We start from the raw sequence: 12236 nt of genomic DNA on the forward strand, positions 1-12236 counted from the left end.
CAACCTAGGCAACAGAGCAAGGCTCTGTCTCAAAAAACAAAAACAAAAACAAAAACAAAAAAAATTGACAACAACTTAATGTCCATCAATAGGAGACTGATGTAATTATTAAAAATTAATTATGGTTCATTCATACCATTGAATATACAACACTTATTAAAAATAATGACATATATCAGTATGTAAGACATGTAAGTAAATACATTTTAGAATAAATTATGTGGGGTGATCTCACCTCGTGATCATGGTATCTCCCCTGCCAGGTAAGTATAGGGTGATCTCACCTCTGTAAAAATTTATATTATAATGATATGATATGTATGTCACTATAGGTTTAGAAAATATCTGGCAAATATATGCCCTGTTAATAACCATTAAAGAACCTTCATGTTCTAAGCCATGCATATCTCTAACAATTAAATTTATTAACATATGTTGCTTTAATGATAAAAACTCTATAGTTCTTAAAAGAGCACAAACACGACCTTTTTTTTCAATAGTATTCATATCAATAATAATTAATAGTCTTTGTATTTTTCTTGTTGTTTTGTTTTGTTTTTAGACAGGGTCTCACTCTGTTGCCCAGGCTGGAGTGCAGTGGGATGATCACAGCACACTGCAGCCTCAACCTCCTGGGCTCAAGTGATCCTCCCACCTCAGCCTCCTGAGTAGCTAGAACTACAGGTGTTGCCACTATGCCCGACTAATTTGTATTTTTTGTAGAGATGAAATTTTGCCATGTTGCCCAGGCTGGTCGTGAACTCCTGGACTCAAGTGATCCACCCATCTCAACCTCCCAAAGTGTTGGGTTTACAGGTATGAGCCACCGTGCCAAGTGAACAATCATTTTTAAATGGACATACTAGACAAACACTTGGAGACACTACTACCTTCTGGCACTGTGTGAATGGACACAAAGTTAAATTAAACAGATCTTTATTCTCCAGAAATGGTCTACACAAGAGCCTGGATCAAATGTTTTGAATAGGACATTTTACAAAATTGTAAAAATATTATAGATATTCTTGCTATAAAATATTTGATTTCAGAATAATATGAAAGTAAGAGAAGCAGAAACTTCTCCTTCATCCACTTACACTTCCCAGAGGTAAAAATTATTTATTAATAATTTGGGCTATACATGTCCAGCCCCATCCCTCCACACATACATGAACACATACATACACACATTGCTTGCATATATCCATAACAATACACATACATACATATATACATACACATGTACACATCCCATATATTGTCTTGTACTTTGTTTTTGTTTTTACCCAAAAAATATATCATTGACAATTATCTGGGCCAATATTTTTGTTTTTACCCAAAAAATATATCATTGACAATTATCTGGGCCAATATTTTTGTTTTTACCCAAAAAATATATCATTGACAATTATCTGAGCCAATTTTCAACTCCATTCTCTCTCCTGATCTCATAGAATCCCATAGTACCGAGGTACTGTCATTTAATGAACTATTCTGTTTATTCTCACTGCTTTGCTATTTGAAATATGAAAATATGAAAATCCTTGCACGTGCGCCATTACATGAGAATGTCCTTAGGAGGATTTCCTGAAATGGAAATGCTTGGTCATAGAGAACAAATATCTTACATTTTGACTGGAAACAACTAGACTGTGCTATAAAAAGGTTGCAACAATTTATCAGATCAATCATAATTTAATGCTTCTGCTTTAAAATATCCATTTCCTCTCATTCTTATTTTAGGTAATTTCACCTATATGACATATATCAGTATGTAAAACATGTTATAGTCCCATTTCTGGGATGCTTTTCCTTCTCTCTTTTTTTATTTTACCTCTTTTCGTGGCCAAGGCCTTTTTCTAAACTATAATTTATTGAGTTCTTTTCATGTTCTAGGCATCTGTTTAAGCAGTCACATGGCACTCTCCCATTTAAACCCGACAACATCACGAGATATCATGTTCCCATTTTACAGATGAGGAAACTGAGGCTCAAATGGGTTGAGAAACATGCTCTGAGTTACCCAGCCAGTAAAGGACGTGGGCCAGCATTGGAACTCATACCACCTGACTCCAATATCCTTAGCTCCCACAGGATATGTGCAAATCACACAAAGGAAACAGATAAAGCTGTTCATCCCATTACAACATCTATTAGAACAGACTGATGACATTAGACAGCAGTAAATAATGAATGCAGCTGCTGTGGCTGAGGAAGGCACTGTGGTTTCCCAGGCCACATCCTCTGTCTTTTTTCTCACAGATCCCTCAAGCCTGTGCCTACCCCCCTTGTCGTTCTTGGACAGGTGCTTTGCATACTTCTTGAACAAATGCAATTGCCACATTTTGAGTATGTCTCACTCTTCTGCCTTACACTTGATACTCAGTCCTCCCCAGTGAAGTAGCCCATGGCATACTCCCACTTCACAGACAAGCCAGGCAAGCCAATAATGTGGGAGCTTCAGCACATAACTCTCTGGAGTGCAGTGGTGCAATCACGGCTCACTGCAACCTCAACCTCCTGGGCTCAAGCAATCCTCCTGCCTCAGCCTCTTGAGTAGCTGGGACTACAGGTACACACCACCATATCTGGCTAATTTTTTGGGTATTTTTTGTAGAGATGAGGTTTGACCATGTTGCCCAGGCTGGTCTTGAACTCTTGGGCTCAAGCAATTCTCTCACCTCGGCCTCCCAAAGTGCCGGGATTAAAGGCATGAGCCACAGGGCCCAGCTTGTTTTCTTCTTTTTAATCAAAGGAAACAGATGAAGTTGTTTATCAAATTTTCATTTGCTAAACTTCATCAAAATTAATAGTAATTTTCTAAAGAATACACCTATTATGGAGTCTAACCATATTATTTGCACTGATGATTTCAGAGTCATACTATAAGTTTAAAAGTAATGCTGAAGGTTGGTGGAAAAAAAGCGAAAGCTATCTTTAGTGAATATGTTGGCTCATGGTTTTACTTTCTGGAAAAACTTCAGATACACAGTCCTATCTATACATAAATACATACATGTATTTGTACATTTTTCATATGTCATACATTAAGTATGCACACATATTTATTTCTTCATAGATTTAAGCATGACCTATTTAGCTCAGAGAAAAAACAAAGAAAAGGCCAGGAGAAAAGAAAAAAGGGTAGAAAGAACATAATTAAATTTGATTTACTTAAAACACAATGCACAGATAAAAGTGTGGTGAATTTTTGTAACCTAATTTAGTATATAAGCCTGAAAAAATTAAACTGATGCAACTGTGTGCTGAATAAAGGAGACTGTTCAGATTCTGGCACTAACATCTCAAGAAAAAAAAGATTTTTGAAACTCAGAGTTGGTTTCTGAAGTTTATTGAAGGAAAAACACATTCACTAAAAAATAAAAAAATCTCATTCCCAAAAAGAATTTGAGAGCAAAATCTTATGAGCTCGGCTGGAACTATATCTGGCATCAATACCTAGAAAGTTCAAAATATAAAAATCCTAAGGAAGAAATAGCTTCATAAATTTAAGTATGATTTGACAGTTAAGATTCTTTGTATCCTGACCAAAATTGTTTCTAACTTAAACACTGAATTCATTTAAAAATTGGTAGTAGCCTATTTATTAAAAGAAAAGGTACTTTCTCCTGAGAAACATTTGGGAAATACCTGGTATGACTTTTTTCTTTAGCAATGATGATGGCAGATTCCGTCATTATTTGATGGTGCTAATTAGACATAATAAGCAGCTCTTGTAACTTAAAGAGTCAAATTCTCTCTATATTGTCTGTGCTTGCAGAATTTTGAAAAGCTTGAACACAGCCAAAGAGTTGGGGAAAGCAAGCTTTTAATTAAACACTAATAAAGGCCAGAAATAAATTTTGCTTTTGCTTTTGTTCCTGTTTTTTTTTTTTTCTTTTGCTCCTAAGAATCCAGGAAAATCCAATCAGAAGGGCCGTTCATCCTTTAACTCCAGTGGATGGGAAAGACCTGAGACAGGGTCAGAATGATTAAAAAACGTACATAGAAATGCCAAAAAAAAGAGAGCAAACGGTCTGAAATGTCTGTCAGGAAAAACAGGGCACCTTCCAGAGCCCAACCACAGGGCCGGGTGCAGGAAATAGCGATCGCTTGACACTCAGGGCTGACAAGAACTGCAGAAGCTGCCAAGGTCCCCGCCCTGGGCTGGGCACGGGTGGGTACTTGCAGCTGGCAGTACACACAAGCTGGTGTCCTTGAGGGAGCCCACTGGCACCAGGGTTAGAGGAAATAAGCTACTCTGCTATCTAAAGCAATGCTTTTCTGATGAAATGGTCGTTAGAGAAGCCAAACGAATGTATTCTCAATCAGCTTACACTGGCGTGGGCTATTTTCAATAATGAAAAAGAATAAACCCACACATACAAATGTATTTCAACATACATGGCTTTTTCCCCACATGAGGTTTCTAAAGCTTCACGGAATGCAAACGTTGCCTTCGGGCAGAGTTCTGCTAATGCTGCTTTCTCCTCCTCCAAATGCTTGGTGTCTTCTCATATCATGTGCTGCCTCTACCCTTGCCCGGGTCCCCATCGTCTCTCAGCTGGAGATCTGAAATGGCCTCCTGACCGCTCTTATGCCTTTTAAGTCATTCTCCCTAGAGTGGCTGGAGCAGGCTTCTTAAAGTGTAAAGTAGATTCATTTGTTCATTTAATCAACAAGTATTTCTGAAGCACATTTTTGGTTCCAGGTGCTGTTCCAGGCACTGAGGATTCTAACAGTGAAGTCCCCTGCATGCCTTCAGCTATGAATAACGTTCTGGCAGGGGAAATGAGCATATGAACAAATATATTCATAGAGTCAGGTGGTGTGGTGAAAAGGATTACAGTGAAAAATAAAGCAGGCTAAGACATGGTTGGGAGTCACCTCCCTGGTTGGGGTGACATTTGAAGAGACCTACAGGAAGTGATGGGGTAAGCATCATGTAGACTTCTCAGGAATGAGATTCCAGGCAGACAACATTCTGTGGGCTACAACTCTGAGGCTGGAATGTGCTTGGCAGGTTTGAGGGACAGCAAGGAGGCCAGGGTTGCTGGAGAAGCGTTAAAGAGGGGAAGGGTGCTGGGAGTTAAGACCAGAGTTTGGGTGTGTTTGCTGGAACTGAGGCAGGAGTTGGGAGGAGCCTAGGTAGAAGGAATACTGATCACACAGACACACAGGGGCCTTGTAGAGATAGTAAGGCCAGGTTGTTTCTCAGAGTTGGGAAGTCATTGAAGGGATCTGAACAGAAAAATGACACGATCTGACTTACTTTGAACAAAATCGCACTGGAGGTGGGGTTGAGAAAACACTGCAGGGGCGGTTGGCATTTGCAGAGAGACCAGTTAGGAAGCTATTGCAACAAACCAGCTAAGAAATGAGGGTGGCTTGGCCCCAGGATCATGGTGATGAAGATGATAAGTGGATATATAGTTTGAAGGTAGAGCCAAAGGGATTTGCTGATGGGTTAGAAGTAGAATGTAAGTGTTGAAAACTAGCCAAGGTTTTCACTTCAGCACCCGGAAGAATGGAGTTGCCATTTACTGACAAATAGCTGACTACAAAGTACGCTCTGAGAGGGCAGAGCTTCTTGTTGGTTTCTTGCTGTATCTCCACTGCCTCGACCAGGCCTAGAATGTAATAGGCCCTCAGTATATATTTGTTGAAATGAATGCACAAGTTATTTCCACATTTGAAACATCTTCAATGGCTTCCCACCACACTTACTGCAAACTCTAGAACACCAGGGCACCGTGTGATCTAATCTCTGCTGCCTTGCCAAACCCACCTCTCATGACCTTAACATTTCTTGCAACACTTTGGCCACTCCACTGTGCTCTCCATTCCTACAACATCCTAAGGTCTTTCCTGCCTCAGTGTCTTTGCGTCTGCCATTAACTCCACTTGGAATGCTGTTCTCCTTGGTCTGCACGTGCCAAGCTCCTTCTCATCCTTTGAGTCTTGACATTAATAAAACCTCGGAAAGAAGCCTTTTGTCACATTTCTCCCTTGCCAGCTTCATCCCCAGTGGACTCTGAGCTCCACAAGGGCAGGGCCTACCTCTGTCTGTTATGCTGTTGTATCCCAAGTGCCCAGAAAAGTGCCTGGAAGGTAATAAATATTGCTCAATAAAAAGTGCTTTAATAAACAATGAGGCTGGGTGTGATGGCTCATGCCTGTAATCCCAACACTTTGGGAGGCTGAAGTGGGCGGATCACCCGAGGTTAGGAGATCGAGACCAGCCTGGCCAACATGGAGAAAGCCCGTCTCTGCTAAAAATACAAAAATTAGCTGGGCGTGGTGGCACGCACCTGTAATCCCAGCTACTTGGGAGGCTGAGGCAGGAGAATCACCGGAACCTGGGAGGTGGAGGTTGCAGTGAGCTGAGATCATGCCACTGCTCTCCAGCCTGGGTAACAGAGCAGGACTCCGTCTCAAAAACAAATAAATAAATAAACAAACAAACAATAAATGATGATATCTGATAGAATGGTAGTTTAAATGATGATATCCAGTGTGTATTATGGTCCACTCTTTTTAAGCATTATATATGTGTGTATATGTGTGTACATACCTACATGTATACATACATAAATATTCATTTATTTTTCACCATTACCTTAGAAGGCAGGTATAATATTAATATCTCCAATTTAAAAATGAGGCACAGACATGGAGTAACTTGCCCAGGGTTATACACGTAATGGGTAGCAAAGCTGGGATTTGAACTCAGGCAGTGTGGTTCTAGTGTCTGTGCACTTAAACCCCTAAGATTTACAAGGATTCCCTTGTGCTGATGCAAACACCTCCATGATTTGACTTTAGGGATAACTGGGGTGAGAGGAGGAGAGAGAACTCTCAGCCAGGTGTTTGTAGATGCTTGCATGTTTGCAATTAGAAATTAACAACTTCACCAAAGACTTTTTCTTCTTTTGAAGTGGAAAGGCTACTTAAAGAATAGATGTGGCAGTTTTACCGACCCTTTTTACTTTAGTTTAAATGAGTTTATCAAATCCAGCTATGTTTACAGAGTTTGGTAGAGGGAGAGATTAGAGACTAGGAGAGTGCTAGAAAGAAATGTAGGTAAATGTAGAAAAGGAAGAGGCTGACTTTAGGTAAGTGGCAAACTAAGTTCATCTCATTCAATGACTCAAGTGGATGAGATTAGGATTTAGACACATCTAAGCTCCAATCTTTGCTCATGAACAAATTAATTAACAACTGTGAACAATTTCTATATTTGCCAAATGAGTTTAATTATACCTATTTAACATCATTAGAAGAATTAAATAAAATGGTGAATACAAAATGCTCAGCACTGTGTCTGACATATAGAGAAATGTTTATTAAATAAATATAACTGGCCAGGCATGGTGGCTCATGCCTGTAATCCCAGCACTTTGAGAGGCTGAGGTGGGAGGATTGCTTGAGGGCAGGATTTCAAGACCAGCCTGGGCAACAACAAGATCCCATCTAAAAAATAAAAAAATACAAAAAATTGCTGGGTGTGGTGGCGCGCCTGGAGTCTTAGCTACTTGAGAGGCTAAGGCGAGAGGATCACTTGAACCCAGAAGCTTAACACTGCAGTGAGCTATGATTGCACCAATGCACTCTAGCCTGAGACACAAAATAAGACCCTGTCTCAATCAATCAATCAATCGATTAATAAATGCTTAAGATGAGCCAGGCAGCCTAGTGAAATCTTCATTTAGATAATCTTGTTTTGTCCCCTCACCAACCCTGGTAGGTAGGCACTATTATTTCCTCATCTTACAGAAGATAAAATGAGGCACCAAGAAGTCAAGTAACTTGTCCATGTCACACACCTATTAAGTAGGGTGTTTGGGCTTAAATCCTGGTCAGAGTTTGCACTCTAGCATGATAACTTTTGGCTTAGGATCAAGTCTTTGCAAGGGGTCCAAATTTTTACATTTGAAGAGCTACTATTTCTCCATCAATGTTATCTTTAACCTTTATACCAAACTTAAAAGATCTTATTTTATCTTTTTATAGGTAAATAAACAGGCTTAGAAAGGGTAAGCAGCTTGGCTCAAGGTCGTATAGCCGATAAGTGATGGAGATTTTATTTTTATCCCAGGTTCAGCTGGCTCTAGCCCATTCTATTTCCCTATTTTATCAAGGACCTTTTCTCTCTTAGGTAATAAGCATCTAATCGAATTTTAATGAGACAAACTAATTCCTGTAAAAATATTTGCTGGCTACACTACCCAAGGGTAGCATGATGCTTATAATAACCAGGTCTTCTTAGCAGTTGCAAATCTCAGGGTCAGATCAGAGGACAGCTTATACAGATGGGAAAGATAGCAGACATGGGGTCCTAGAGCTTTTGTGCATGAGGATATCGAGTTCTTAGTACTATGGAGTAAGGGTCAGAGTTAGGAGGAAGAAAATTTAACAATTTCCTGTCAGAGAGACAGAAATAAAGCAACTAAAAGTTGTAAGCATGTTTGCTTTTCTAGTATAAACCAGACAGTAGCATTAAGAGGCTAGTGCTGCCTCATAAAATCCTGTGCCATAAAACCATGTGCCCACAGTGTGTCTACACAGTGGTCAGTGGGCCCCTTTCCTGGTGGCCATCCAGTCTACAATTCTTCATCTGGGTGGTGAGAGGAATGAGTCAAGGCTTCTGCAAACTTTAGAAGCTTCAAAGGTTAAGAAATTACGTGCATAAGAAATTATGAACAATGCATACGTGAAGATAATTTGCCAGACATCCATCCAACCATTCATCTATTCATCCAATTGCCTACCCACCAACCCACCCACCCATCCAATCATCCATCCACCCACCCACCCACTTACCCATCCACCCATCCAAGCATCCATCCAACCAAACACCTACCTATCTATCCTACCTACCATTCATCCATCCAACATCCATCCATCTAACAATCCACCCATCTATCCATTCATCCACCCACCCACCCACTTACCTGTCCACCCATCCATCCATTCATCCATCCACCCCATCCCATCCATCCATCCACCCCATCCCATCCATCCATCCACCCCATCCCATCCATCCATCCATCCATCCATCCATCCATCCATCCATCCATCCTTCCTTCCATCCATCCAATCATCTATTTAACCAAGCACCCATCTATTGGTCCATCCATATAACATCTAACAGTGTTTTTAGTGCTTTTAAATATTAATACATTTAACTTTTATAACCATCCCAAGAAAATAACTCTTTGATGTAGGCACTATAATTGTCCACATTTTACAGCAGAAAAAAATAGAGCTTTAGAGAACTCACATAACCAGTAAAAGGTGAGTTACGATTTGAATTCAGGCGGTTTGAGTTCATAGACTTCATCTTTAAGCAGTAGACTATGTTTCCATCCAATATTTTTTGAGTGAATGAACAAATGAACAAATGAAAAAATTGTATCTTTATGTGTCATTTCTCTTAAAATAAAGCAGCAAATTTGTGGCCAGAGGCTGAGTGTTAGAGTCAGCTAGCATGCTATTCAAATTCCAACACTGTGACTTATTACCTATTATAATAAGTACATAAAATCAATAAAATGGGGTTCATAATATCATACTGAAGAGGATAAAGGCACAACATCTAATAAAGTGTGTAAAATCTAGGAACTCTCCTTTTCAGTATACACCATACAGAAAGTCTTGCTCATATGCACAAAGAGACAAGTACAAAAATTTTCACTGTACTGTTATTTGGAAATAACTTATGTCTATCAACAAGAGATTGATATATTCATGCAATGGGATATAGGGATTGAAAATGAATTTAGAGATAAATCCCAAAAACTTACTGAAAGAAAAATAAAAGCAGCAGAATGATGCATACATATATAAATTTTACAGACACACAAAGAATTATATATATTGTTTATAGATACAAACAGATGTGACATAATTATAAAAACATGCCTGGGAATAAAAAACTTCAGGGCAGGATTTTCTAGGGAGTGGGAAGAGGTACAAAGGAGGTTTCAACTGATTCAATATAATTTTATTATATTACAAAAAAGTAACCAAAACAAACATGGCAGATTATTTGTAAGATGCCTTAAACAGTGCTGGGAGCATAGATTTTTCCCTATATTACCTTTTATATTTCTGTATATTGAAATAAGTCCTAAAGTTTTTTATTCTTAAAGGTAGCACATGCAAAGTGCCAAGCATAAGGCCTAGCATATAGAAAGGCCTAGCATATAGCAGCTGCTTAATATCTAGTAGCTGTTACTCAAGTCAAGACAGCAAGGTTACATAAAAGTACCAGTTAAAGGAAAAACAGCTATTTAAGCAAAAAGCTTTACCTAAACACACACACAAAATTTAAGAGACAAAAAAATGACTAAAAAGGACATTAGGGGAAAATGGGACTATTTAATTTACCATATTTGCTAGCATTTTTTATAGCAAAAGTTTATTTCAAGGATGCCAGGATGTATATCTGTTATGTATGTACATATATACACAATATATCTATTACATATGGGTGTTAATTTTAATTTTTTTCATGAGAGCTTAATTTCTGTCTGCTTTCCATGTTGTAAGTCATATGGTCTTGTTTATAAAATTTAGAACTGCAGATCTGATTCCTCATTTGAGTCATTCAGACTTTTCCACAACAACCAACTGGGACAACAAAAATATAATGTTCAGAATAAACATAAGTAGGGGATGAATGAGAAAGTTATTTTATGCTACAAGCTCCACCAAGAAAAGATGGAATGTGAAAAACAAACACTCATTTGAAGAGTCCGGAGAGTCCGTTCTTGATGCTTTTCAAGCTGTGCAACAAAGGTTCAAAAATGCTTTTCAAAGAACCTGGGACTAATTTTGTTGAGTTTAGGTGACATGTTTCTTTTAGAAATTTCTGTCAGGTGATGAGCTAAAAAATTAAGATAAAAAATTAAAAATTAGTTTTTGGGTACCTTAGCATCTTAGTTCCCTGCCATAAAATCTTTGGTTACCAGAAAAAGTAGAAGATTAATTTTCTCAGTGATAAATGGACTCATTTCATTTATCACCCAAATTTTCTCTCCTTTCTGTATGTGTTAATCACTACTATAATGGTAAGTAGCTGAGTCTGTTGTGGTCCAATCCCTTGAAAAAAGTGTAGCAAGCAGTCAGGAGACCTCTCTGAAGGCTGGCTGTGTTTTAAAGCTAGATTCTACATCCTCACATCAAGGCAATCTCACTCTTCACTTTCTTCCTGCTGCCCTTGCTTCAGTGCAGGCTTTGGTCCTAGCACCTGTTGGGGAGGCACCCGTAGAAGGTGCTTGATGTGTTGCCCAAACTTATTTCCCCAGCTGTTGGGAGTGTTGTGAGCAGACAGATCTCAAACCCGTCTGGAAATCGCAGTCCCTTAAAGAGAGCTGCCTCCTCCAAGGTCATCCCATCCCCCTTTTCAAGGGTAGCCCATCTCCAATAATGGGTTAATGAAGGTGGGGAGAAGACCTACCCCTCTCGTAACAACCTGGGACAACTCTCAGCTTCAGAGCTACCTGGGAGGTCAGCTGCAGTTTTTGTTGAGCCTGAATTCTAGTTCAACTTTTCCCTCTGCTTAATCCTACTTCTTCTTCTTCTTTTTTTTTTTTGAAACAGAGTCTCACTCTGTTGCCCAGGCTGGAGTGCAATGACGTGATCTCTGCTCACCGCAACCTCTGCCTCCCGGGTTTAAGCCATTCTCCTGCCTCAGCCTCCCGAGTAGCTGGGACTACAGGTGTGTGCCACCACACTTGGCTAATTTTTTTTTTTTTTTGTATTTTTAGTAGAGATGGGGTTTTGCCATATTGGCCAGCTGGTCTCGAACTCCTGGCCTCAAGTGATCTGCCCACCTTGGCCTCCCAAAGAGCTGGGATTACAGGCTTCAGTCACCAATCCTACTTCTTTTTTATTCCCTTCTCCAGGTGTAGGTCCTCAGAGGGCTCTCTAATAAACTTCCTGCTTGTTAATCTCCATTTCAGAGTCTGCTACCTAAGGAACCAAATCTGTGTCAGCATTCACGCTGTTCTGTGGCAAGGCAGAATTGGTTTGCCTGGCCCCTTTGGTTGGGTGGGTATGTGACCAGTTCTGCCAATGACTGAGAAGTGACATGAGCCACTTAGAGGCCAAGCATTTAACTGCTAGGACCAGACTCTGAAGAGCTCTTCACCTTCTATCAGGGCACCTGGCAATGTTTAGGAACATTCTGTGGGCCTGAATGACAGTAATCAACCAAGCTTCCAGCCAAC

The 12236-nt window shown here is 39.6% G+C and overlaps 1 protein-coding gene across 7 annotated transcripts in view; it reads right to left on the reverse strand.

The window, feature by feature from the left end:
• Positions 1 to 12236, reverse strand: part of FRMD4B (FERM domain containing 4B) — a 373805-nt gene that overhangs the window by 197447 nt on the left and 164122 nt on the right. The window lies entirely within an intron of this gene.

This window comes from Homo sapiens, chromosome 3 (assembly GCF_000001405.40).
Source record: "Homo sapiens chromosome 3, GRCh38.p14 Primary Assembly".
Classification (NCBI taxonomy): Eukaryota; Metazoa; Chordata; class Mammalia; order Primates; family Hominidae; genus Homo; species Homo sapiens.